This window comes from Homo sapiens, chromosome 9 (genome assembly GCF_000001405.40).
Source record: "Homo sapiens chromosome 9, GRCh38.p14 Primary Assembly".
NCBI classification, from domain to species: Eukaryota; Metazoa; Chordata; class Mammalia; order Primates; family Hominidae; genus Homo; species Homo sapiens.
The window spans coordinates 127,907,221-127,931,690 of record NC_000009.12 but is presented as its reverse complement, the minus strand read 5'-3'; the positions used below and the strand labels follow the sequence as shown (position 1 = coordinate 127,931,690).

General features: G+C 56.6%; 2 protein-coding genes and 1 long non-coding RNA gene across 11 annotated transcripts in view, besides 12 other annotated features; all 3 read left to right on the top strand.

Annotated features, from left to right (window-relative positions):
• Positions 124-847: an enhancer, noted in NCBI's record as "H3K4me1 hESC enhancer chr9:130693123-130693846 (GRCh37/hg19 assembly coordinates)". NCBI's record gives its function as "activates a minimal SCP1, AML or CMV promoter by ChIP-STARR-seq in naive H9 embryonic stem cells {active_cell/tissue: H9 hESC(naive)}" and the evidence as "EXISTENCE:reporter gene assay evidence [ECO:0000049][PMID:30033119]".
• Positions 831-1,150: a silencer, noted in NCBI's record as "silent region_20318". NCBI's record gives its function as "represses an Ori minimal core promoter by ATAC-STARR-seq in GM12878 lymphoblastoid cells {active_cell/tissue: GM12878}" and the evidence as "EXISTENCE:reporter gene assay evidence [ECO:0000049][PMID:35858748]".
• On the top strand, positions 914-10,810 carry PIP5KL1 (phosphatidylinositol-4-phosphate 5-kinase like 1). Of its 7 annotated transcripts, none has more exons than XR_007061247.1 (11): positions 914-968; positions 1,806-2,003; positions 3,208-3,258; positions 3,472-3,626; positions 3,919-4,043; positions 4,360-4,394; positions 4,483-4,538; positions 5,712-5,824; positions 6,431-6,584; positions 9,577-10,318; positions 10,609-10,810. XR_007061247.1 is itself a non-coding variant. In XM_047422776.1 (11 exons), exons 1-11 carry the CDS (start codon positions 939-941, stop codon positions 9,939-9,941), a joined length of 1,335 nt encoding a protein of 444 aa, XP_047278732.1. In that variant the 5' UTR covers positions 914-938; the 3' UTR covers positions 9,942-10,810. The 7 variants fall into 7 exon arrangements, 6 of the variants coding, with proteins under 6 accessions (XP_047278732.1, NP_001128691.1, XP_047278733.1 ...); XM_047422776.1 differs by adding an exon at positions 7,661-7,713 and having other exon boundaries at positions 9,577-10,810; NM_001135219.2 differs by having other exon boundaries at positions 9,577-10,810.
• Positions 1,571-2,294: an enhancer, noted in NCBI's record as "H3K4me1 hESC enhancer chr9:130691676-130692399 (GRCh37/hg19 assembly coordinates)". NCBI's record gives its function as "activates a minimal SCP1, AML or CMV promoter by ChIP-STARR-seq in primed H9 embryonic stem cells {active_cell/tissue: H9 hESC(primed)}" and the evidence as "EXISTENCE:reporter gene assay evidence [ECO:0000049][PMID:30033119]".
• Positions 3,018-3,741: an enhancer, noted in NCBI's record as "H3K4me1 hESC enhancer chr9:130690229-130690952 (GRCh37/hg19 assembly coordinates)". NCBI's record gives its function as "activates a minimal SCP1, AML or CMV promoter by ChIP-STARR-seq in naive H9 embryonic stem cells {active_cell/tissue: H9 hESC(naive)}" and the evidence as "EXISTENCE:reporter gene assay evidence [ECO:0000049][PMID:30033119]".
• Positions 3,742-4,465: an enhancer, noted in NCBI's record as "H3K4me1 hESC enhancer chr9:130689505-130690228 (GRCh37/hg19 assembly coordinates)". NCBI's record gives its function as "activates a minimal SCP1, AML or CMV promoter by ChIP-STARR-seq in naive and primed H9 embryonic stem cells {active_cell/tissue: H9 hESC(naive and primed)}" and the evidence as "EXISTENCE:reporter gene assay evidence [ECO:0000049][PMID:30033119]".
• Positions 4,466-5,189: an enhancer, noted in NCBI's record as "H3K4me1 hESC enhancer chr9:130688781-130689504 (GRCh37/hg19 assembly coordinates)". NCBI's record gives its function as "activates a minimal SCP1, AML or CMV promoter by ChIP-STARR-seq in primed H9 embryonic stem cells {active_cell/tissue: H9 hESC(primed)}" and the evidence as "EXISTENCE:reporter gene assay evidence [ECO:0000049][PMID:30033119]".
• Positions 7,091-8,290: an enhancer, noted in NCBI's record as "CDK7 strongly-dependent group 2 enhancer chr9:130685680-130686879 (GRCh37/hg19 assembly coordinates)". NCBI's record gives its function as "activates an origin of replication core promoter dependent on BRD2, BRD4, P300/CBP, MED14 and CDK7 cofactors, with strong dependence on CDK7, by STARR-seq in HCT116 cells {active_cell/tissue: HCT116}" and the evidence as "EXISTENCE:reporter gene assay evidence [ECO:0000049][PMID:35650434]".
• Positions 14,401-14,760: a silencer, noted in NCBI's record as "silent region_20317". NCBI's record gives its function as "represses an Ori minimal core promoter by ATAC-STARR-seq in GM12878 lymphoblastoid cells {active_cell/tissue: GM12878}" and the evidence as "EXISTENCE:reporter gene assay evidence [ECO:0000049][PMID:35858748]".
• On the top strand, positions 14,650-23,805 carry ST6GALNAC4 (ST6 N-acetylgalactosaminide alpha-2,6-sialyltransferase 4). 2 transcript variants are annotated; one of them, NM_175039.4, is made up of 6 exons: positions 14,650-14,865; positions 15,197-15,283; positions 16,850-17,035; positions 19,011-19,423; positions 21,633-21,740; positions 23,110-23,805. In NM_175039.4, the coding sequence occupies exons 2-6, from the start codon at positions 15,272-15,274 to the stop codon at positions 23,297-23,299; spliced, it is 909 nt and encodes a 302-aa protein (NP_778204.1). In that variant the 5' UTR covers positions 14,650-14,865; positions 15,197-15,271; the 3' UTR covers positions 23,300-23,805. The 2 variants fall into 2 exon arrangements, with proteins under 2 accessions (NP_778204.1, NP_778205.1); NM_175040.4 differs by lacking the exon at positions 15,197-15,283.
• ST6GALNAC4-ST6GALNAC6-AK1 (ST6GALNAC4-ST6GALNAC6-AK1 readthrough) overlaps positions 14,650-24,470 on the top strand; it is a 50,556-nt gene continuing 40,735 nt past the window's right edge. The window contains exons 1-4 of one of the 2 annotated variants that reach the window (NR_174625.1): positions 14,650-14,865; positions 15,197-15,283; positions 16,850-17,035; positions 19,011-19,423. This is a non-coding gene — a long non-coding RNA (ST6GALNAC4-ST6GALNAC6-AK1 readthrough). The remainder of the gene's footprint in view (positions 14,866-15,196; positions 15,284-16,849; positions 17,036-19,010; positions 19,424-24,470) is intronic. The other variant, NR_174624.1, reaches the window with a different exon arrangement.
• Positions 15,683-15,862: an enhancer, noted in NCBI's record as "active region_29061". NCBI's record gives its function as "activates an Ori minimal core promoter by ATAC-STARR-seq in GM12878 lymphoblastoid cells {active_cell/tissue: GM12878}" and the evidence as "EXISTENCE:reporter gene assay evidence [ECO:0000049][PMID:35858748]".
• Positions 15,943-16,102: an enhancer, noted in NCBI's record as "active region_29060". NCBI's record gives its function as "activates an Ori minimal core promoter by ATAC-STARR-seq in GM12878 lymphoblastoid cells {active_cell/tissue: GM12878}" and the evidence as "EXISTENCE:reporter gene assay evidence [ECO:0000049][PMID:35858748]".
• Positions 16,173-16,282: an enhancer, noted in NCBI's record as "active region_29059". NCBI's record gives its function as "activates an Ori minimal core promoter by ATAC-STARR-seq in GM12878 lymphoblastoid cells {active_cell/tissue: GM12878}" and the evidence as "EXISTENCE:reporter gene assay evidence [ECO:0000049][PMID:35858748]".
• Positions 20,258-20,467: an enhancer, noted in NCBI's record as "active region_29058". NCBI's record gives its function as "activates an Ori minimal core promoter by ATAC-STARR-seq in GM12878 lymphoblastoid cells {active_cell/tissue: GM12878}" and the evidence as "EXISTENCE:reporter gene assay evidence [ECO:0000049][PMID:35858748]".

The window sequence follows — 24,470 nt, the reverse complement described above, 5'->3', positions numbered from 1 at the left end:
GCTTTCATGGCATTCCCACTCCAGGGGGAGACGTGATAAACAATAAACAAGACAGTCTCTGACAGTGTTAGGGTGGTAAAGAAAATAAAGGTGATGTGATCAGGAGTGGGGGGAGGGGAGCGCTCTGTTGGAGTCTGGCAAGGTGACGAAAGAACGAGGCGAGTAGCAGTCTGGGGTCAAGAGTTTCAAGCAGAGGGAATAGCAAAATGCAGAGGCTTGAATGGGAGAGTTTGGCGGCTAAGGAACAGGAGGGGCCGGGCGGCTCAGTGGTTAAGTGTAGGGTGAGTGGTTTGAGATGGGCCTGGGGTCAGGGTGAGGGGTTTGGGTTTTGTTCCATTGCCATGGGAGCCACTGGAGGCTTTAAGCACGAGAGTGACATCATCCAAGTTATGCTTTTAAAGATCACGCGGGCAGCTGAGCCCCTCCCTCTCGCTCACCACTAAATCCCCAGGGCCTAGCACTGCTGGCCCACAGTGGGTGTTCAATATCTATGTGTTCAATGAATGGATGTCCCCGACTTTGCTGTGTGACCTAGAGGTAGTGACTTCTTTCTCTAGATCTCTCAGTTTTTTCACCCAAAAGACGGGCAATGGGGATTTCACGCCGGAATGGGTGGGTGGCACAGGATTTAGGTTACTCGCCTCCCCAGGCGGCCCTAGCGACCCGAGTCCCCACGCCGAGGGCGGAAAATGGGGGTGCTCCCTTCGAGGGACCCCAGCCAATGTCCGGCGGCCCCGCCCCAGCCGGACCGAGGTCTGAAGGATGCTGCAGCCGTGGGGGCGGGACCCGCAGGCGATCGCCAGCGCCTCCCGCGTGGATTGGATGCAGCCGCAGTCGGCGCCATGCTATTGGTCGGCCGCGAGGTAGGGGCGGGGCCTGATTCCTGCAGCGGGGCGGCGGGGAATGCGGCCAAAGCCCGGGAAGCTGCTGCGGGGGCGATGGCTGCGCCGAGCCCGGGGCCCCGCGAGGTAGGTGCGGACCCGAGAGAGGACAGGAGAGGGAAGGGTTGGTGGGCAGGGGCCGGGCCTCCCCTCGGCGAGCGGCGCGGACACGCCCCCATCCAAGCCTGGGAGGGGCCCTGCAGCCGGCGAAGACCAGGACACGCCCCACACGGGGCGCCAGGTATCCCGAGGGGCGGCCTGGCGGATATCCCTCAACACTTCCTCAGCTTTCTCATTGGGAAAATGGAGAGGATGCTAAAGCTCCTCCTTCAGGGAGCTGTTAGGAGGTCAAGCTCTCATCCAGTGCGGGGCACGCGGTGGATGCCCACTACTGGTGGGTCAGCGGCTATGAAAAGCATCGTGCTGGCCCCTCCGTGCTGGCCTGGAGGCGCTCAGCATAGGCGAATGGAATAGATGTGACTGAATCACCGGCATCACAGCTCCTACTATCAAGGGCTCCCGTGCAAGGAGCTCAAACTCAAAAGTAACAAGAGTTCATACCTACCACGAAGAAGCTGTTCTAGTTTTCACGTTGCAGATGAAAAAATGAGGCACAGAAAGGTTAGGTGACTTACCTAAGGTCACAAGGTTGGTGAGAGACGGTCCATCTAAGGCCAGGTTTGACTGCAGAGTGCACGCCCTATCTACTGATAATCATAACCATTGCTCTATTCGGGTGCTGACTGCGTGCCAGGCACTGTGTGGCCCCTCTGGGTACCAGCATCATCTCTATTTTACAGCTGAAGAAATTGAGGCAGAGAGAGATGAGGGGAAGTCTCACAAGTAGTGGAAGTGGGACTTGAACCCTGATCTTTTTCCTCTGTGACGCTGCCACAGGCTGTGTCCTGTGCCTCCTCCCACCAGGTCCTGGCCCCCTCCCCTGAGGCTGGATGCAGAGCAGTCACCTCCAGCCGGCGGGGGCTTCTCTGGCGCCTCCGAGACAAGCAGTCTCGCCTGGGCCTGTTTGAGATCAGCCCGGGGCATGAACTGCATGGGATGACGTGCATGATGCAGGCAGGGCTGTGGGCTGCCACCCAGGTCTCCATGGACCACCCACCCACGGTGAGTGGCCCATCTGTCCCACGAATCTCCACACCAGCAATGGCAAGACTTGGCTGATGCCCTGTCTGGCTGAAACTGCAGGTGTGGGGATCAGAGAGGGATATCAAGGGGAGGAAGGCAGAGAGGGAGGAACATTGTGGTGTGGGAGCTGGAACGTCTGGGGTGCGTTGGGGGTGTGAGGAACCCCCTGACTCAGGTGGTTGCTGTGTGACTCTAGGTGGGTCTCTGCCTCTCTCTGGGCCTCAGTGTCCCCATCTGTATAATGGGGGGAGATTATACTCCTTGGTTTCTGAGGCCCTCCCAGCCCTGCCAGGGTATATGGTTGAAAAGGGACCCCCACCCCCACCCTGCTGGCCTAGCCCATCCTCTCTGGAGCTCAGGCTGAGGCAGGGCTGGCTCAGCAGAAAGGTGGCCCAACTGCAAGCTCAGCAGCTGGGCGGGCCTGGGTGAGCATGTGTGTGGTGTTCGTGTGTGTGCATGTGTGCGCAGTGGGACCACATTCCACAGACCACATCCGGGCACAGGGACCTGGAGATCCAGGGAAAGTGTAGAGACTCGAGGGAGTTCTCTAAATCACAAACTGACCTCATCACCTGCTGAAAAGCTTCCATGGCTCCCCAATACTCAGCATGACCTCCAGATCCAGCTGCATCCAGCCTTGTTCACACTCCATCCCTCCCTCACTGGCTTCAGCCACTTGGGCCCTCCTTCCCTTGCCGGCAGCCACCAGTGCTGTTTCTACTGGTGCGAGCACCCTGCTCCTCCTCTCCACTACCCTTTAGATTTCAGCTTAGAGGTCTCCACCCCCAGGAAGGCTTCTCTGATTTTGCCCCTCCCAGGTTGCATCAGGCAGGTCCCTTGGCTTCAGGGCCACCCCCTTGTACTGGACAGAATCTGGCTTCACTTGGCCAGCCTGTGAGTCTGGGAACGTGCCTGGCTTGAACTCATGGCCTGGTGCTGGTGATCCAGAGTGGATGAGATACACTCAGGCCTTGCCGTGGGTCACTCTTGTCCCCCTGGCATCCCTGGGAGGTGAGCAATGCATCTGCCCAACTCAGGCACTCTCAGAAACTCCGGTCCCGGTTTGCTGAAGGAATCCAATTGGAGGAGGTGGGGGACGGGCCAGGTGCAGGACATCTGGAGATCCTGGGGCAGGCAGCAGGGGACTGAGGGTTGCCCTGAGCTCCTCTACCTCTCCCTGCAGGGGCCGCCCTCCCGGGACGATTTCTCGGAGGTCCTAACCCAGGTTCACGAGGTAGGAGGCCCAGACTCCCGTGTGGGAGGGACGTGTGCTGGTCTTGCTCTCTCCTCTGCAGTTTTCCCATCTGTGCAGTGGGAGTGAAGGCTTGTCCCTGAGACTTGAGCCTTGCAGGAAGGGTGTGGTCACCCTGACCCTCCTGTCCCAGGACCAACTGCACACACCCGGGCCCACGCAGACACTCCAGAGGAGGCTCTTCCTCCCCTGCAGGGCTTCGAGCTGGGCACGCTGGCCGGCCCCGCCTTTGCCTGGCTGCGCCGCTCCCTGGGCCTGGCGGAGGAGGACTATCAGGCTGCCCTGGGCCCCGGCGGCCCCTACCTGCAGTTCCTCAGCACCTCCAAGAGCAAGGCCAGCTTCTTCCTGTCGTGAGCTTGCGGCAGGGGTGGGGCAGGGGTGGGAGTGGTACCCCTGGCTGGGAGGGCAGAATTCCCAGTGGCGGGGAAGGCCCCCTGAAGAGAGAAACAGAGCGGCCCTAATCTGGGAGGGTCAGGGCCGGATGGTGGACAGATCGGGGAGGAGAGGAGGGCGAGGGCCGAAGGCGAGAGAGGCGGTGCCGAGACCTGGGAGCGAGATCCACGTGCACAGGTCGGGGAAGGGGGCCGGGTGGGAGCCGCTCCAGCCAGGCCTGGGCAGTGACCTCTTTCTCTTGCCCCCCAGCCACGACCAGCGCTTCTTCCTGAAGACCCAGGGGCGCCGAGAGGTGCAGGCTCTGCTCGCCCACCTGCCCCGCTACGTGCAGCACCTGCAGCGGCACCCGCACTCGCTGCTGGCGCGGTTGCTGGGTACTTGGCTGGGGGCGGGGCTCGGTGGGGGCGGGTCCTAGGTCATCATATACCTGGGGAGGGCGGGGTATGTGGGCGGGGCCCAAATGGGCGGATTTGGGGTTGTAGGGCATGGGGGTGGGGCCATACGTGGGGGCGGGGCACCACTGGGGCTGTGTTTAGGGGTGGGATCGGGTCGGGATCCGGACCAGCCAAGGAAGGGTCCAGGTGCCGCGGATCTTGAGAAGGAGGCGTGGCCTGGCGCTGGGATTGGCGCCGGATGCACCCCGGGTTGTGGAGTTTGGGGATCCTCATCCGGCGCCCTCTCCCCTTCCAGGAGTGCACAGTCTGCGGGTGGACCGGGGAAAGAAGGTGGGTGAAGCCGAGGCGAGGTGGCTGGGCGGAGCGGGCGGCTGGAGGGCGACAGCCGGCCTCCCTCACTCCCTGTCCCGGCCCCCAGACGTACTTCATCGTCATGCAGAGCGTCTTCTACCCCGCCGGCCGCATCTCCGAGAGGTGAGTGGCCTAAGCAGGTTTGGGCCCCCATCCCAGCCGAAACTCGCGGCCCGAAGCACCCACACTCACTAGCCAGACGGTGAAACCGAGGCCCAGGAAGGAGAAGGGGCGTTCCCAAGATCTGGTGGGTCAGAGACAGTGACGCCCACACCCAGCATCTCTGGAGCACTCAGTGTGCGTTAGGCGCCGTGTTGGGCCCTTCGCATGCTTTTTAATTCCCAGAAGGACGCTGAGGGGCAGCTCTTATCCTCCTTCCTAGATGAGAAACCGAGGAAGGAGAAGGCCACACAGCTAACATGTGGGGAGCAGGGACTCAGACCCAGCCTCTGACTGCACGTAACCCCCTGTGCCCTCCAGCGCTGACTCTACCCACAGGTTCCCCGCCCCCCGGCCATTGGCTGCCCCCAAGCCGTCCTGTTGCCACCGCCTGGGGTTGGATCCCTGTGTCTGGGACACCCTCAGGGGTGACAAGGTGTCCAGAGGCAGGCACAGGCAGGGCTCAAGCCTGGGCTGGGCCACCAGTGGCCTGAGTGTGAATGCCTGCTCTGCTCTTATCTTTAACTCAGAAACAATAATAGGCCGGGGTTCAGCTATAGGGCCGGGCATGGTGCGTCACGCTTGTAATCACAGCACTTTTGGAGGCCAAGGCAGGAGGATTACTTGAGCCCAGGAGTTGGAGACCACCCTGGGCAATAGAGTGAGACCCTGCCTCTACAAAAAATGAAAAAGTTAGCTGGGTGTGATGGCACGTGCCTGTAGTCCCAGCTACTTGGGAGGTTAAGGTGGGAGGATTGCCTGAGCCCAGGAGGTCAAGGCTTCAGTGAGCCGTGTTTGTTTCACTGCACTCCAGCCTGGGTGACAGAGTAAGACCTTCTCTAAAAAAAGAAAGAAACAGGTGAGACTCCATCTCCAAAAAAAAAAAAAAAGGGAAGAAAGAAGGGGAGGAAGGAAGGGAAAGAAAGAGAGAAGAGAGAGAAAGAAAGAAAAGAGAGAGAGAAAGAAAGAAAAGAGAGAAAGAAAGAAAGAAAGAGAAAAAGACAGGCCAGGGTTGTGCTGAGGACTGGGGATGATCTCTGTAATAGTTCAGTGCACATAAGTAGTCACTGGAAGCTCTTGTGAGATTCTCTCTGTGTCTCAAATCTATGTAAAGCTGAATTCTGTCCCCCCACCCAGGTATGACATCAAAGGCTGCGAGGTGAGCCGCTGGGTGGATCCCGCCCCTGAGGGCAGCCCCCTTGTTCTGGTGCTGAAGGACCTCAACTTTCAGGGCAAGACCATCAACCTGGGTGAGCCACGGGGGTGGCCACTGCCTGTTCCTCCTTCATTCAGGGTGAAGTTTAGAAGGGTGTCCCTGCTGCCCTCTGCCTGAGTTATTAAGAGCCCAGATTCGGCCGGGCGCCGTGGCTCACGCCTGTAATTCCAGCACTTTGGGAGGCCGAGACAGGTGGATTACGAGGTCAGGAGTTCAAGACCAGCCTGGCCAAGATGCTGAAACTCTGTCTCTACGAAAAACACACAAATTAGCCAGGCGTGGTGGTACCCGCCTATAATCCCAGCTACTCAGGAGGCTGAGGCAGGAGAATCGCTTGAACCCAGGCGGCAGAGGTTGCAGTGAGCCGAGATGGCGCCACTGCACTCCAGCCTGTGCGACAGAGCAAGACTCTGTCTCAAAAAATAAAATAAAAATAAAAGAGATTCTGGAATCAGGCAGAGCAGAGTTCAAATTCAGGCTCCATGACTTCCTAGCTAAGTGACCAAGGCAAATTACAGATGAGTTTCTTTATTTGTGAGATGGGGACAGTAATGCCACATGCTGTCACGGGGCAGAGTGTGTGGAGCACCGTGGCTGGCACATGATGAGCGCTCAGGTGGGGGCACTGATGCTCCGGCAGGGCCCCAGCGGAGCTGGTTCCTCCGCCAGATGGAACTGGATACCACCTTCCTCCGGGAGCTCAACGTGCTGGATTACAGCCTCCTGATAGCCTTCCAACGTCTCCACGAGGATGAGAGGGGCCCGGGCAGCAGCCTCATCTTCCGCACGGCCAGGTGAGCCTCCCACAGGGGCAACAGCGAGATTGAGGTGGTGAGAGTAAGGGAAAGACAGACATGGGGGCATGGGAGTGCACCGGGAGCAGTGCAGCCAAAGACATGAAGGCTGGAAAGTGCAGAGTTTGTGTGTGTGTGTGCGTGTGCGCGCGTGTGTGCATATGTGTGAGTGCATGCATGCGTGTGTGTGCGTGCATGTGTGTGGGTGTGCATGTGTGCGTGTGTGTGTGTGTAGAGGGGAGGGCTGGAGAAGCCTGGCTGGTAGGGCAGGAGGGGCACAGGTGGACTGCAGCAGGGGACAGAACAGATGAAGTCCAGTTGGAGAAGAGCTTTGGTGACTATTTGAAGAATCTGCCCATTTTCCAGTGGGGCTGTGGAACCACTGAAGGTTTCAGAGCAGAGAAAAAGACCTATTTAATTTTTAACATTTTTGCTTTTTTTTTTTTTTTTTGAGATGGAGTTTCGCCCTGTCACCCAGGCTGGAATGCAGTGGTGCCCTCTCGGCTCACTGCAACCTCTGCCTCCCCGATTCAAGCGATTCTCCTGCCTCATCCTCCTGAGTAGCTGGGATTACAGGCATCCCCACCATGCCTGGCTAATTTTTTTTTTTTTTTTTGAGATGGAGTCTTACTCTGTAGCCCAGGCTGGAGTACAGTGGCGCGATCTTGGCTCACTACAACCTCCGCCTCTCGGGTTCAAGCAGTTCTTCCTGCCTCAGCCTCCTGAGTAGCTGGGATTACAGGCACACACCAGCATGCCCGGCTAATTTTTGTATTTTTATTAGAGACGGGGTTTCATCAAGTTGGCCACGCTGGTCTTGAACTCCTGACCTCAAGTGATCCACCCGCCTCGGCCTCCCAAAGTGCTGGGAGGCCCAGCATCCGGCCAATTTTCGTATTTTTAGTGGAGATGGGGTTTCGCCATGTTGACCAGGCTGGTCTTGAACTCCTGACCAAGAGATTTGTCTGTCTCTGCCTCCCAAAGTGTTGGGATTACAGGCGTGAGCCACCGCGCCCAGCCTAATTTTTGCTTTAGAAAGGGTCCTTGCCCTTTTTAGCTGGTCATTCCACTTCCAGGACGCTGACGTCATCATCATTGGCACCGTCTTCCTGTCTTCATCTCAGTAGTGGTAACTGTCATTCCTTCATGCTGACTGGGAGCCTCCCTGGGAGGGTAGACTCATCCCCATTTGAGAAATGTGAGAACTGAGGCTCGGGAAGCAGACACAAGGTTGCAGAATGACTTCTGAGGACTCATGTTAGTACTTGGCCAGCTACTTCCATTTCAGTTCCCTCAGGCCCACCCCTGTGGTCGAACAGAATTACATAGGAGCTAAGACAGGCACTCCATTGATCCAGTGGGTGGACAAGGGGAGTGAAAGAGGAGGTCCAGCCGCCACCCCTCCTGTCCCCTGCCTCGTTCCTACCCCTCAGAGGAAGAACTTGGTATGGGTGAGACTTGGGTAGAATTTGGAGTCACTGGCCTTTGGCTGGGCTGGACACGTCCTGACCGGATGGTGGCAAGCCTGCCATGGGGCACGGAGCCTCCCACACCTGCCCATCCAAGTGAGGTCAGCTTTTCCCTTGCCCTCTCCCCCTAGCTGGTACTTAGGCCACCGCTGTCATTCAGTCAGTGAGTCCTGGTTTGCATGGAATTGTTGTGACATTGAAATATTTTCATGTTGGCTGTCCCAGCCCCACCCCAACCCAGTTCCCAGCCCCTACTGAGAACGCCCCCATCCCACATCTCCCCATCATCCAGGTAGCCCACAGGGTACCAGCATTCTGTTCAGACTCTCAGACCACTGAGCTCTGATTGGCCAGCGCCGGGCAGGGCTTTTTTCTCATTGGTCTATTTACCCCGAGACCCAGACAGGACAGGATTAAAGCCCTTCAATGACGCCTGAGGACAAAGTTAGGGAATTGAACCTGCTTCTGCTGGGACTGGGCGCCCTGCCAAAGGTACCTTCTGGTATGGAAGACATTTTGAGGCAAAACCATAGACACACCATCTGCAAACTGGGGTTGCTGGATTTTGTTCACAAAACTTCTGCTTCACAACCCTGAGACTTCTGGGGTTGGATGACTCCAAAGAGAAATTTAGGAAATAGACTTACCTGAAGTCATGTGGCACCAAGGTGCAGATTCCAGGGTCTGTGTGACGCAAAAGCTATAGACCAGTGCTACCCAGTAGAAATATAATTCAAGCCATACATGTAATTTAAAATTTTCTAGTAGCCTCATTTTAAAAAGTAAAAACAGGTGAAATACTATAATTCATTTACTCAATACATCCAAAATGTTCATTTCATTGAATCAACGTAAAAATGAGTAAGATATTTTACATCCTTTTTTTCTTTTCTTTCTTTTCTTTTCTTTTTTCTTTTTCTTTTTTCTTTTTTTTTTTTTTTTTGAGACAGAGTCTCGCTCTGTTGCCCAGGCTGGAGTACAATGGCAAGATATTGGCTCACTGCAACCCTCCGCCTCCCGGGTTCAAGCGATTCTCCTGCCTCAGCCTCCTGAGCAGCTGGGATTACAGGCGTCCGCCACCACACCTGGCTAGTTAATTTTTTCATTTTAGTAGAGATGGGGTTTCGCCATGTCATGGTCTCCGACTTCTGACCTCAGGTGATCCACCCGCCTCGGCCTCCCAAAGTGCTGGGATTACAGGCGTGAGCCACTGCGCCCAGCCTTACATCCTTTTTTTCATCCTGTCTTTGAAATTGAGTATGTATTGTACACGTATAGCACATCTCAACTAGGAATAGCCACATTCAAGGCTCAGTGGCCACCTGTGGCCAATGTCTACTGAACAGTGCACCTCTAGCCCAACACTTTCACTTTTCTCAGTCTACCTGACTTCACAAACCTGGGCACACAGGAGGTGTGGGAATGAGCTGGTGGAGGGGTGGGCAGCCTGGCCAGGCTTGCAGAGCCGACTGGCTGGGGCTTCCTGGAGGAGCTGGCAGCTTCACCCTCCTGTCGGCCCCCAGGTCTGTGCAAGGGGCACAGAGCCCGGAAGAGTCGAGAGCCCAAAACCGCCGGCTGCTGCCCGACGCCCCCAACGCCCTACACATCCTGGACGGGCCCGAGCAGCGCTATTTCCTGGGCGTCGTGGATCTCGCCACAGTCTACGGGCTCCGCAAGCGGCTGGAGCACCTGTGGAAGACACTGCGCTACCCAGGCCGGACCTTCTCCACTGTCAGCCCGGCTCGCTACGCCCGTCGCCTCTGCCAGTGGGTGGAGGCGCACACGGAGTGACGGGCGCCCGGCCCCACTCTCCGGATCTGGACGATGGGCTCACGCCAGGAACGCCGGTTCCCCCGGGCCCGGGCATCTCGCCTGCGCTTCCTCCTGATGGTCGCCAGAGGGCAGCATCCCCTAACTAATACCGTAACCGCGCAGTCCCGTTTGACGGTGGTGCCGTGCCCAGCATCGTGCCAAGGACTCCCCTACTTTAGCTCATTTAATCCTCAAAAAATGCTATTATTCTCTTTTTACAGACCATGAAATGGAGGCTCAGGGGGTGAAGGGACTGATCAAGATCATTCAGCAATAAATGCTGGAACCAGGACTCAACCATGGCTTTTGGATTCCGGAGCCTGTATTCTTAACCACCAGCTCCTGCAGCTTGGTCCTCATGATCTGGGCAAGGGGGGAGGCTGAAGGCTGCAGCCCTCTTGTCATCCAGATGGGGAAACTGAGGCCCAGAGACTTTAAGGGGCGTAAGCACGGGTAAGTGGCAAGGTCGGCCCTGAGTACCCAGGCCTCCCGGCCCCCTGCTCCTGGCCTGATACTCTAGGGATGCAGGTGGGAGAAGCAGGGGTCCTGGGGGCTGCCTGGAGCTCTGGGAGGCATTCTGAACGGGGTCTACTACTGATCTCAGGTGAGCTCTGCCCTCCTCTGAAAGTCACTTTTCTCATCAGTTAAATGGGGGCAAGGGTCCGTGGTCCGACCAAGGTCTTGGCTTCACAGACATCACCAGGAGCCTGCATGCCCCTGATCACTCCTTCTCCTTCCTCCAGGAAACTCCAGCCTGGCCTCTGACCCCAGTTCAATCCGACCATGCCCAAGCCCAAGCGGGCCTTTCCTCCAGAACTGCTCCGGGGCCTGGCTGTGTGACTGGAGCAAGGTGCTAAACCTCTCTGTGCCTCGCTGGTCTAATCTGTAAAATGAAGGAATGGAAACAGACCTCATTAACTCATTAAATATTTGTTGAGCACCTGCCATGTGACAGGCCCTCTGCTGGTAATGGGGACCTGGGGATGAAGCAAGTGGCACAGATTCTGCCTTCATGGAACTCGTGGAACTCACAGTCTGGGGGAAGGGACCCCTACCCGATCATTTGATGGATAGTGTTGGGGGAAGAGCTTTAACTTCTACTCTGAGACCAGAGAAGAGTCTGACACGTCCCTAGGAGGGTCCCAGGCTAAGAGCACAGCAAGGGCCTGGGGTGAGAGAAGGAAAACATTTCAGAGTGGGAGGGGGCCATGTGGGCCAAGAGTGGACCCCCAGGATTGGACAGTGCAGGACCTCGGGGAAGCCATTCAGCTGCAATGCACACTGCCACTCCACTGACCTATCAGATCCCACCAAAGAAAGATGGCTGAGGGGCCGGGCACGTTGGCTTACGCCTGTAATCCCAGCACTTTGGGAGGCCAAGGTGGGTGGATCACTTGAGGTCAGGAGTTTGAAACCAGCCGGGCCAACATGGTGAAACCTCGTCTCTACTAAAAATAGAAAAGTTAGCCAGCTGTGGTGGCGGGTGCCTGTAGTCCCAGCTACTTGGGAGGCTGAGGCAGGCGAATTTCTTGAGTCCAGGAGGCAGAGGTTGCAGTGAGCCGAGATGGCACCACTGCACTCCAGCCTGGGCAACACAGCAAGACTGTCTCAAACAAAACAAAACAACAACAAAAAAAGAAAGATGGCTGAGGGGGAAGGGGGAGGAAGGAGAGAGCTCTGGATGCAGGGTTCCTGGAATATTTGGTTTTTGGTTTTTTTTGAGACAGGGCCTCCCTCTGTCACCTAGGCGTGAGTGCAGTGACATGGATTACAGCTCCTTGCAGCCTCAACCTCCTGGGCTCAAGTGATCCTCCCACCTCAGCCTCCCAAGTAGCGGGGACTACAAGCATGTGCCATCACACCTGGCTACTTTTATTTTATTTTATTTTATTTTATTTTATTTTATTTTATTTTGCAGAGACAGGGTCTCATCATATTGCCCAGGCTGATCTTGAACTCCTGGGCTCCAGCAATCCGCCTGATTTGATCTTCCCAAAGTGTTGGGCCCACAGGCATGAGCCACTGCACCTCACCAGAATATATGTACTTTAAATATTGATATCACTCCTAGTCGTCTGGGTGACCTTGCCTGATTTCTCAACCTCTCTGTGCTGGCATGAGCTGAGTGGAAATTTCTTGTCCTTACTTTAGCAGGAAGTTGTGACATAGAGTGTTGTCACGCCCATCACTCAGGAGGTGATGGGCCAGGGAAACTCGGAGGTGGCAGGGAATTGCAGCAGGAACTGGAGTCTGACTCCACATTTCCACCCATCTGGATCCCACAGGGCTGAGTCAGCGCCACAGAGTCCTGCTCTCACACATAAGGATGACTCAGACTCTCTCCACCTTTGGGTCTCTGGCCGTGAGCCTAGCCGGGACCTCAGGCTGGAAAGGAAAGTGATTTGTCCAAGAACTCATGGGACCCAGGCTCTCCTAACTCATGCATTGATAGACGTGACCTAGCACCTAGTGTGTGCCGGGCACTGTGCAGGTGCTGGAGGTGTCCTGAGCACATGGCTGGTCTGACTTTGCCCACATGGAGCTTAGAGTCTGTGGGGCAGGTGGACCATAAATAAGGCAACCAGTTAATACACAGGGCAATTTCAGAGTGTGACAAATATTATGAAAAACTGAGTCGGGGTGAGGCAAGAGGGATTGGGGTGCAGCGTTGGGTAGGGTGGCTGGCAAGGGCTTTTCAGAGGAGGTGATGCTTGAGCTGAATGGTAAGAGAAGCCACCATATGACTAGCGCAGTCCAGCAGAGGACACAGTGAGGGCAGAGGCCCTGCAGTAGGAATGGCTTCAGTAATGATTGGCGGTCGGAGGGTGGCCAGGGCAGGTGGAGGGTGACTGAAGGAGTTCACACTGTGTAGGATCGTGTAGGTTGTGGTAAGCAGAGTAGGTTTTTGCCAAAAGCAAAGTGAAGATCTTTATCTGGGGCTGTGGGACTTCCTGGTCACAGTTCTACTGTGGACTTATGATCCTCATCTACCCTGGGAGCACGGGCCATTTGGGCATGTCCCTGTCTCCATGTGGCCCTAGCAAGGATGGAGTTGCCTCTCCGGGGAAGGAATCATCACCTCACCAGCCATTGTGGGCAGTGAGTGAATCCATAGGGAACTTCTCACCATTGTGCCCTCAGGGTTGGGCCTATGAGGAAAGAAACTTGAAGAACGAGGACTGAGAGGAAAGGGCTCTGGCTTTGGGGACCCACTGCCTTGTGTGAGTGAGGGGCCATGGTGACTGAGCGTGAACCACTACTCCCCATGTGTGTCCAGGCTGGAGTGGCAGTGACAGGAGAGTTTGTGCTCAAAGGAGGCCCCTAGGGGGCAGGGCCACTACAGCAGCCCTCCTCCCAGCCCCTGGATAGGGGAGGCACTGAGGCCTAGAGCACCAGGCCCAGGGGTGATTTGGCTTTGAACCTGGAGCAGGGTAGACTGGGAAGGTTGCTGAGCTGGGGACAGATACCCTGGCATCCTGCCCAGGCCTGAGCCTCTGAGAAAAAGGAAAAAGGAGTTTGAAATGGAGACCAGGGCAGGAGCCCAAGCTGGTTCCCAGGCTAGCTCCCTGCAGAGGAGGTGGGTGTGGTTGGGATGGTGAAATGATCTTTCTGGCCAATTCAACATTTTGCACAAAAAATCATAAACAAGGGCTGGGCGTGGTGGCTCACGCCTGTAATCCTAGCACTTTGGGAGGCCGAGGCAGGCAGGTCACTTGAGGTTAGGAGTTCGATACCAGCCTGGCCAACATGGTGAAACCCTGTCTCTACTAAAAATACAAAAGTTAGCTGAAAATCGCTTGAACCCAGGAGGCGGAGGTTGCAGTGAGCCAGGATGGCACCACTGCACTCCAGCCTAGGCAACAGAGAGAGACTCTGTCTCAAAAGAAAAAAAAAAAAAATCCTAGACAGGAAGTGTGCCCTCTCACTTCCCCATAGGCCCACCCCTGCTACTGTCCCAGTGCTTTCTGCCACCAGCCTGGCGCTTGAAGGCAGTTGCCTCTGAGATCCCAAGGGACCCCAATAGGACACACTGCAGCATCTGCCTGGGGCCTGAGCTGACTTGACTTGGATTTGGAGGACATTCCAGCGAGGGAGCCTTCGAGAGGTAAGAGTAGGTGGTCACAGCCCCGGGTCTGGAGTGAAACTTCCTGGGTTCGAATCCTGGCTGTGACAGGAGCTGCCTCTACACGTGTGTCTCAGAGGAGAAAAACAGACTCAGGTGACTGTCACACTGACATAATCATAATAAAATAATCATATTGAAAATAACTCATGTATTCGTTGTTTATCTGAATTTCCAATGTCACTGGGCGTTCTGTATCTTACTTGATAAATGCAGCAATCCTACCAGTTGAAACGTGGGCTGCCTGACCCGAAGCCCTGCTTAATTTCCCTCCCCAACCACCATTTCAGAAATGGAGACACTCAAGTCCGGACAGCCAGGCCGCCACTGCCTGGTGGCCCCCGACACCCTCTAGGTCTCTTTCCCCTGCGGCCCGACAGCCTCGCCCAGGCAGGAGCCTGCTGGAAATTCGGCAGGACCGAAAAGGGAGATGCTGGTACTCAGACTCCGCCCCGGCTCTGAAGCCCCGCCCCCGGCCCTGAGGCCCCGCCCCTAGCTGGAGGCCTCGCCGCCAGCCATTCACGTCCCGCCCCGTCCCGGCCGCGCAGAGCCCTCCCCAGGTCGCGCAGGCCGCGCTCGTAGGATCCGCCTGCGGCGCGCAGGCCCCGCCCCCGGCGCGCGAGTCTCCGCCCCTCCTCGCCGGCCCCGGCCCCGGCCCCGCCCCCTGCCTCTGGCCGCGCGGATCAGCTTCCAGCCCAGTCGGCCCGGCCCGGGGGCCATGGAGCTCCGAGCGGCGGATCGCGAGCCTCCTGCGAACCCCAGCCTGCACGCCCGGTTAGCATTCGGCCGGGAGATGCGGCAGTGGAATCTGGAAGGGCGGTGAAAAACCTACGTCCTGCCCTCGCCCGGCCTCTCCATTCGTCCCCCGGGTAGAGAGGTAGGATGGATGGGGTGGAATTCCGGGCTTCTGGCTCTCTCTGCCCCAGACCTGATGGGTGACCTTGAGCTGGGGGCGCCTCCTCGCTGCCTCTTCCTCCCCATCTGCGCACTGGGAATTGGGTTGGCAGGAGGTCTCGCAAACGTCGCTGATTCCTGCTCCTTTAGGATGGGGACATTGCCTTCCGGTGTTTGGAGACGTCAAGGGGTTGGATTCCCGGGTGCCATGTGCTTTCACCCCGGCCTGTACCCTCTCCTGCCTCAGTTTTCCCTATAGCTTAGAACCCCACCTGCCTTACCCCTCCCGGCTCTGAGTTTCTGGGTCTTGGCAGGTGCCCGGCTCCCACCCCTTCCCAGCCCCAGCCCTGGAGACAGCAGCCCCTAGACTACTGAGGGACAGCGACAGCATGAAGGCTCCGGTAAGTGGGAAGAAGGAGGACTTCCAGGGAACGCAGAGGCCCCGACTGGCGGAGCAGCTCAGCAGCCTCTCCACCCCAGGACCCACTGCCACTTCTGACCTCCCTACTGCTGAGCAGAGAAGGGCAGAATGGCCTCAAAGTCCAACCCTGTTCTTGCAGACCGTGTGGCCCCAGGCAGGTGGCATCCACTCTGCAGTGTCAGTACCTTGCTATCCCTGTAAAACGGAGGTAACGCTACGAGCTCACCAGGCAAAGCCTACGTGGAACTGGGGTTGTGAAGTTCAGTTCAGCCGCTCTTGTCTTTACTGCAGAAGCCCCGGGCTGTGAGAGAGAGAGCTGGATGTGGGGGGCAGTTCATCTCGACTGCCTGAGTCAAGGTCTCTGGTTCCTCATGGGCAGGGGAGCAGGTGCCAGGCAGAACTCCCTCCCCTGCACAGCTGGCCACACAGAAAAGACTTATTTTTAGAAGCTGACGTAGCTTGCGGGCAGAAAATGGTGGGCCTCAGGCAGGATGCGCCGGGGCAGGTGGGGTGATGGGGTAGGGGGTGGGGGCCACTTTCCCACTTCTGATTTTTGGAGAGCACCAGCCAACTGCTTGGTGGCTTCTGAAGGGTGGCCTAGGGACTTGTGCCTCGAGTCTAGAAACCTGGAGCCCAGAGAGACACACGTGGTGACCAGGGTGGCCCACTACCCAGTGACTAGCCCACAGTTCTGCTGCCACCAAGCCCTTCCCCTCCTGGGAGGCTTGGTGGTGGTAGGGGCATTCACTAAGTCTGCCAGCAGGACCAGCCCCAGGCTGGGTCTAGGCCAGATGGCTAGAAGAGCTTCCTGGTTCCAATGGCCTTTGGCACATGGTTTCTGGAGGCGGTAGCCTCCAGGCACCAGCTTTTCAATTATTAAAACCATTTCTTGAGTGACCTTTGCTCCAATCTCCTTGTGCCACCTGGCCTGCTGACCCAGATCCGGATCACCAGGGGACAGCCACTGAGTCAGCTGGGGGTGGGGAGGAGGCGGGGCCACACTAGGCAGCCCTGGTCCTAGGCTGAAGGGGCTGGTGGCCCTTCTGAGGCACCACTTTCCCGTTGTCATGTGCACAGCACTTTACAGTATACAGAAGGCTTTCACTGCCCCCCTCCCGTAAGTTCACACGGTGGGCATTATCAGTCCCCAGTTTGTAGAGGAGGAAACAGGCCCAGAGGGATGGAGAGCCATAGGTCGCACAGTACACCCTAGCCTCCAGTTAGGAATATGGGCTTTCCAGCCAGTATTTAAGGCCCCACTGTGCTGCTTCTTTGCTGTATGGCCTTGTACTACACACTTCACTCCAAACTGCTTTCCTTATCTAGAATGTGGGGATGATAACAGTGTTATCTCCGGGGCCTTATGTGCCCAGAGCTTGGCATCCCCAGGTAAGGCCCAGTGGATGGAGACTGGATTCTGCTGCTGTTCTAGGAGCTGCTCTAGACCCAGGAGCTTCTCTAGACCCAGGAGGCCAGGTGCAGCGCTGAAGGGGCTTCTGGGAGCCCCTCCCCACATACACCCCCCCATGGCCACTGTCTCCCTCAGGGTCGGCTCGTGCTCATCATCCTGTGCTCCGTGGTCTTCTCTGCCGTCTACATCCTCCTGTGCTGCTGGGCCGGCCTGCCCCTCTGCCTGGCCACCTGCCTGGACCACCACTTCCCCACAGGCTCCAGGCCCACTGTGCCGGGACCCCTGCACTTCAGTGGATATAGCAGTGTGCCAGATGGGAAGGTGAGTGGGCCAGGCAATGCATCCGGGGTGGGTAGTGAGAGCTGGGCTTGTCCCAAACCGGACCTTGAGCTTGGCCCCTCTACTCACCAGCCATGTGATCCTGGCCAATCACATCACCTCTCTGAGCCCTAGGTTCTTTTTTTTTTTTTTTTTTTTTTTTTTTTTGAGACGGAGTCTTTCTGTTTCTCCCAGGCTAGAGTGCAGTGGCGCGATCTCGGCTCTGAGCCCTAGATTCTAAAAAGAGATTTTTTTTTTTTTTTTTGAGATGGAGTTTTGCTCTTGTTGCCCAGGCTGGAGTGCAATGGCATGATCTCAGCTCACGCAACCTCTGCCTCCCAGGTTCAAGCGATTCTCCTGCCTCACCCTCCCGAGTAGCTGGGATTATAGGCATGTACCACCACACCTGGCTAATTTTGTATTTTTAGTAGGGATGGGGTTTCTCCATGTTGGTCAGGCTGGTCTCGAACTCCCAACCTCAGGTGATCTGCCTGCCTTGGCCTTTCAAAGTGCTGGGATTACAGGCATGAGCCACCACGCCCGCCCAAGAAATGTTTTTTTTTGTTTGTTTGTTTGAGAGAGAGAGAGTCTAGCTTTGTCACCCAGGCTGGAGTGCAGTAGTGCGATCTCAGCTCACTGCAACCTCCACCTGCCGGATTCAAGTGATTCTCATGCTTCAGCCTCCCGCCACCGGTTCTTGCCTGTCTCGTCCTGGAAGATCTGGTCACAGTAGGCCATCATGCGCTCGGTGAAGGTGTACACCTGCAGGCCGGGGTACATCCTGGTGAGCTGCAGCAGTGTGCAGTAGGTGTGGCCGCCGAGCACCCCGTCCATGTGCCTGCCCTAGCCCTGCCCTGGGACTACAGGCTCATGCCACCACACCTGGTTAATTTTTAGAGATGGGGTTTCACCATATTGGCTAGGCAGGTCTTGAACTCCTGATCTCAAGTGATCCACCCACCTTGGCCTCCCAGAGTGCTGGGATTACAGGTGTGAGCCACCGTGCCCGGCCAGATGTTGTTTTCTTTTTCTTTTTCTTTTTTTTGTATTTATATTTTTATTTGTTTATTTATTTTAGACAAGAGCTCACTCTGTCAACAGGCTGGAGTACAGTGGCGCAATCTCGGCTCACTGCAACCTCCGCCTCCCAGGTTCAAGGGATTCTTCTGCCTCAGTCTCCTGAGTAGCTGGGATTACAGGCGTGTGCTACCACGCCCAGCTAATTTTTGTGTTTTTAGTAGAGATGGGGTTTTGCCATGTTGACCAGGCTGGTCTCGAACTCCTGACCTCAGGTGATTCACCCACCTTGGCCTCCCAAAGTGCTGGGATTACAGGCGTGAGCCACCGCTCCCGGCCCAGATGTTGTTTTCTTCCCCATTTTATAGATGAGAGACTTGAGGCGCACAGAGGCCGGTGACTTGGCTTCAGGCCACATAGCTAGGAGAGGGCAGAGCCAGGATTCAGGCTCAGGACCAGGGAGTCCCACAGCTGTCCTGGGCGCTGATGACCCTGCTCTTACTTAGAAACTGGGCACAGTGTGGGTGAGGCATGTGCAGGGGAGGGAGTGGCCTAAGAATGATTCTGAAGAGCTGAGGTTCATGTTTACTTGACAAATACTTATATGACCTCCAGTCTGCGCCAGCCACTGTTCTAAGTGTTTTATAACTATTTGCTCAAGCAAACCTCATAAGGACTCATTACGTAGAGACAGGGCCTCAGAGGCAGCAACAGGAATAAGGACCACAAATATGGCTGATGAGGAAGTGGGGGCTGAGTGCAGAACCTTAGCTCTGACACTGGGTATCACTGTGATCTCGGGAAAGTCATCCCTGCTGCCCAGCCTGCAAAATGGGTTCATAACAGTCCTTCAAGCCGATACCTGATCAAGCAAGATTGGTGGATATTCCAGGGGGAGCTGCAGGGGGTGTAAGCTGCGTGTTCATGCCTCTCTGTCTCTTTCTCCCTGCCTGCCCTGCAGCCGCTGGTCCGCGAGCCCTGCCGCAGCTGTGCCGTGGTGTCCAGCTCCGGCCAAATGCTGGGCTCAGGCCTGGGTGCTGAGATCGACAGTGCCGAGTGCGTGTTCCGCATGAACCAGGCGCCCACCGTGGGCTTTGAGGCGGATGTGGGCCAGCGCAGCACCCTGCGTGTCGTCTCACACACAAGCGTGCCGCTGCTGCTGCGCAACTATTCACACTACTTCCAGAAGGCCCGAGACACGCTCTACATGGTGTGGGGCCAGGGCAGGCACATGGACCGGGTGCTCGGCGGCCGCACCTACCGCACGCTGCTGCAGCTCACCAGGATGTACCCCGGCCTGCAGGTGTACACCTTCACGGAGCGCATGATGGCCTACTGCGACCAGATCTTCCAGGACGAGACGGGCAAGAACCGGTGAGCCTGGGGCCTGCCTGCTGGGGTCTCTCTGGCAGCTGGGGCCTTCCTTCTCTGGGAGTCTCTTGTCCATCAGGGGCTGCTCTGTCAGGCCCGGGAGGTCAGCACTCATGGAGGCAGACATGGTCCTGCCCTCTAATGGGGGGCAGGAGGCAGAGGGGATGTCACTCAGGAAACTGTCACACAGATCTAGAATCCCAGATGGTGTTGAGGGCTGTCAGGCCTTTTGAGCACCTGATGGGAAGCACTAGCCAGTGTGTAGGGGCATGAGGGAGCACTTCTCTCTGGAGGGAATGGTCTGTCTAACTTGGTCTCTGATATCCCTTCTGGATAATAAAAGTTAGAGGCCGGGTGCGGTGGCTCACGCCTGTAATCCCAGCATTTTGGGAGGCCAAGGCGGGAGGATCACTTGAGGTCAGGAGTTTGAGGCCAGCCTGGCTGACATGGTGAAACCTTGGGCTCTACCAAAAATACAAAAATTAGGGCTAGGCCCGGTGGCTCACGCCTGTAATCCGAGCACTTTGGGAGGCCAAGGTGGAAGGATCACGAGGTCAAGAGATCAAGACCACCCTGGCCAACATGGTGAAACCCCATCTGTACTAAAAATACAAAAATTAGCCGGGTGTGGTGGCGCATGCCTGTAATTCTAGCTACTCAGGAGAGTAGCTGAGGCAGGAGAATCGTTTGAACCTGGAGGCAGAGGTTGCAGTGAGCCAAGATCGCACCACTGCACTCCAGCCTGGGTGACAGAGCGAGACTCTGTCTCAAAAAGCAAAACAAAACAGAGCAATAACAGCCCTCTTTGCTCACCAGGCATTGGGTGAAGCACTCCGCATTCAAGGTTTCATTTTATGTCATATCCAAAAGCACACTCATGACTCTTGCCAGCCCCTCCTCCACACACCTGCTCTCCACTGGCCTCTGTGCTCAGGAGATAGAACAGTCAGCCTCTGGTGTATCCCCCAGAAAATTGGGCTGTGCCTCTGATTCCTCTCGTATCATCATCTGCCACGTACAATGGCCCATGGCTGCCACCTTGACTTAGGCTTCCCGCCCCCACCACTCCTGGCCTGCCTGCCCTGCGTGATCCTGCCTCTGCCTGCCTCTGTGACTTTGTGTCTCCTTCAGTCTCCCTGTTCTACCCATACTGGCCGTCTGGGGCTCAGACATCCATGCCTATTTCTACCTGCAGGACTTTGCACCTGCTGTTCCCTCTCCCTGGAATGTTCTTCTCCCAGATCTTCCCATGACAGGCTCCTCTTGTTACTCAGGTCACCTCCTCAGGGAAGCCCGCCCTGACCACCCCATCAGAAGGAGTGCCTCCCGCCCTGGCATTCTTTATCCATTCCTTTGTTTCCTTGTCTTGGCAGCAGGTGTCACCCTCTGCCATCATCTTGCTTAGAGATTTGTCTCCTAGCTACTTGTTTATCTATTTTTCTCCTTCCCTTCCCATCTGGTGCTTCCGTGGAATGTTAGCACCAGATGAGGTAGGTTCTGGGCCAGCACAGGGCCTGGGTGGGGCTCAGTTTGAATGAATGAACCAGTTCATACCCGCTCTGTAGAGGTTGAGAGGGGTGGCCCTTGGCTGCAAGAGTACCCAGGGCTGCTGCCTCCAGGGAGCTGAGGCTGGGGCCACCACCTAGCCCCTTGCTCTGAGTGGGGCATGGGGGCATGCGGGCAGGGGCTGGGCTGACAGTGTTCCCTCCCTATAACCCCCTAAAATTATCTCCACTTCACAGACTGGTCATGAGGCTCAGAGAGGTTCACGAGCAAATGTGATGCCCATAGCAGAGCCAGGGTTCAAGTGGAAGATCCTTGGACTCTAGAGAACCCCCACCTGACTTCAAACCACGGTGCCCTGCTGCCTCATGCTGTCTCCCCAGGCCTGGTCCCTTAGATGAGGAGAGGACGTGGCCAGAGCCCCCACACCCATCATCCAGGGGTTTGCTCAAACCCTGCAAAGCGTAGCTGGGCCCGAGCCCCGCTGGGTGCTGAGGAGGTGATCAGGCCTGGGTTTGTGTGCCGCTCTGCCTGTCACCCACTGCTGGCCTTGGGCTGGCTCTGTCCCCTCCCCAGCCTCCCCCAGAGCCCCCCGCAAGAGGTTGAGGTGCATAGCCCCGGGCTGGCAAAGTACCAAGTGCTGCTGGGGCCTGGAGCTACCACATGGCCTCTTGTTGACAGCGTCCCCCTGTCCCCCCGCCACCCCCAGGAGGCAGTCGGGCTCCTTCCTCAGCACCGGCTGGTTCACCATGATCCTCGCGCTGGAGCTGTGTGAGGAGATCGTGGTCTATGGGATGGTCAGCGACAGCTACTGCAGGTCAGACCGGCCAGGCCGGGCACGCGGGGACGCGGGGAGGACTGTGAGCCCTCCTAGGCCTTAAACCAGAGGATTTGGGAGCTGTGGGGGCAGAGGGAGTGTGGGCTTCATGGTGGGTGACCATAGCACAGATACCCCTTGCGCTCTGGGCCTTGGGAAAGAGCTCAGTGTCAAACAGGCTGCCTTACCAACCCCAGTGTGGCTGTTGTGGTCACAGGCTGTTCACGGGCCAGTCATGCCACCCCGCAGACCCTCTGTTTCCTTATGTGGAAAATAGAGAAAAGAACCACATCTTACTTGGAAGGTTGTTGAAACATTTAGGGAGGGAATAATCTACAAAAGTGCTTACCACAGTCAGGGCCTATATATATAGGGCCTAAATATATATATATATATATATCAGTGATATGTTTTATATAAGTTTTAATTTTTGATATTATATGTGATTTTTGATATTATATAATATTTGATATTATAATACCAGCATGATATCAAGTTCAGATATGTTTATGGTATGATTTTGTACCATTGTTATATTATTATATTTCTTTTTTTTTTTTTGAGATGGAGTTTTGCTCTTGTTGCCCAGGCTGGAGTGCAGTGGCGCGATCTTGGCTCACTGCAACCTCCACCTCCCGGGTTCAAGCGATTCTCCTGCCTCAGCCTCCCTAGTCGCTGGGATTACAGGCACGTGCCACCACGCCCAGCTAATTTTTTGTAGTTTTAGTAGAGACGGGGTTTCATCATGTTGGCCAGGCTGGTCTGGAACTCCTGACCTCAGGTGATCCTCCCGCCTTGGCCTCCCCAGGGATCAGGGATTACAGGTGTGAGCACCGCACCAGCCTATATTATTATATTTCAATATTATGGAAACTAACGAGTTCACAACAGGTCACCGAGGTGACAGGTGTCCCTGTGCCCCAGCCATGGCCCTGGCCATACGGCTGGCCCCCGTGATGCTGATGGGGAGGTGGGCGTGCAGGGCTGGTGGCTCTGTGACATGGGAATGAGGGGCTCCTCCCTCACCAGGAGCCCAGGACCACTAGCAGGGTGCCTGCAGTCTCCATCTCTTGATCTACGCACTTGTTCTGGAAGGCGGATGTGACCATCTGCGTTTTACACACGGGCTCTTGAGGCTCACAGCGTCCATCTCTGGCCCAGAGTCATCCAGCTTGCAAGAGGCAGAGCCAGGACTCGAACCCTGGCTCTCGGGATCTGCTACTCCCCTATGTGTCTTGGCCTCCCCAGGGATCAGGCGTGGGTCTTCACGAGCCCATGGGCCTGGCGAGGGGTGGTCAAGGTAGGCGGCAGGGTGTGGCCGGAGGCGAGTGGGTTCTGTCCCACCCCAGCCCTGTTCCCCACCCCGCAGGGAGAAGAGCCACCCCTCAGTGCCTTACCACTACTTTGAGAAGGGCCGGCTAGATGAGTGTCAGATGTACCTGGCACACGAGCAGGCGCCCCGAAGCGCCCACCGCTTCATCACTGAGAAGGCGGTCTTCTCCCGCTGGGCCAAGAAGAGGCCCATCGTGTTCGCCCATCCGTCCTGGAGGACTGAGTAGCTTCCGTCGTCCTGCCAGTCGCCATGCCGTTGCGAGGCCTCCGGGATGTCCCATCCCAAGCCATCACACTCCACAAAAACATTTAATTTATGGATCCTGCCTCCTGCCACGTGCTGGGTGGACCTAAGGTTCCTTCCCGCCCCATTCTGGCGACACTTGGAGCCATCTCAGGCCTCATGACTTGAAGGGGAGTGGAGGGGGGAGCCGTGTCTCCCCCCTCCACTCCCTGAGTAATTCACGGCATTTGGGGGCTCACCCCACCTCCAGGTCTGTCAAGTGGCCTTTGTCCCTGGGGCTGATGGCCCCCAACTCACCAGCATCATGACCTTGTGCCAGTCCTGGTCCTCCCTCCCCAGCCGCTCCTACCACCTTTTGGTGCCACACTTCTCAGGCTGGCCGCCCTGGTTGGGGCAGCCGAGAGCCTGGGGTTCATTGGTGAAGGGGCCTTGGAGTTGTGACTGCCGGGGCCGTATCAGGAACGTACGGGTAAACGTGTGTTTTCTGGATGCTGTCTCTAGCGTGGTCATGTGTCTGATGTGTTTAGGGGTGGAGATGAGGGTTTCTTTCCCTGTCACAGTCCCAGAAGCTTTTTTTTTTTTTGAGACGGAGTTTTGCTCTTATTGTCCAGGCTGGGAGTGCAGTGGTGCCATCTCGGCTCACTGCAACCTCCGCCTCCCGGGTTCAAGCAATTGTCCTGCCTTGGCTTCCCAAGTAGCTGGTATTACAGGCGCGTGCCACCACGCCCAGCTAATTTTTTGTATTTTTAGTAGAGACGGGGTTTCATCATGTTGGCCAGGCTGCTCTCGAACTCCTGACCTCAGGCGATCCACCCGCCTCGGCCTCCCAAAGTGCTGGGATTACAGCCGTGATCCACCGCGCCCGGCTGTCCCAGAAGCTGTTGACTGGAATCCCTGAGGCCCCTACCTGGGCCCACATTGGCTGGGCTTCAATTTCTTCCCCAACAACCTCCTGCTGGTGGCCCCAGCCCAGCCCCTTCCCCAGCAGGTCAGGGCTCCTCTGGGGGGCTGGTCCCTTCACTGCTCTGGCCCAGGAAACTGACCCTAAGTCGGAGGCTTCTTTGGGAACCCCGTTCTGTACCCAGTGAGAGGAGAGCCAGGGCCAGGAGGAAGCGACTCTGAGTGGGAGGGAAATTTCTCCACCCATATTGCTT

Coding starts and splice junctions, on each gene's coding strand:
- PIP5KL1 (XM_047422776.1), top strand. CDS start 939: ATGGCTGCGCCGAGCCCGGGGCCCCGCGAG. Junction 3,627..3,918: donor AAGGCCAGCTTCTTCCTGTC/GTGAGCTTGCGG, acceptor CTTGCCCCCCAG/CCACGACCAGCGCTTCTTCC. Junction 7,714..9,576: donor CTGTCTTCATCTCAGTAGTG/GTAACTGTCATT, acceptor GTCGGCCCCCAG/GTCTGTGCAAGGGGCACAGA.
- ST6GALNAC4 (NM_175039.4), top strand. Junction 19,424..21,632: donor GACGAGACGGGCAAGAACCG/GTGAGCCTGGGG, acceptor CGCCACCCCCAG/GAGGCAGTCGGGCTCCTTCC. Junction 21,741..23,109: donor GTCAGCGACAGCTACTGCAG/GTCAGACCGGCC, acceptor CCCACCCCGCAG/GGAGAAGAGCCACCCCTCAG.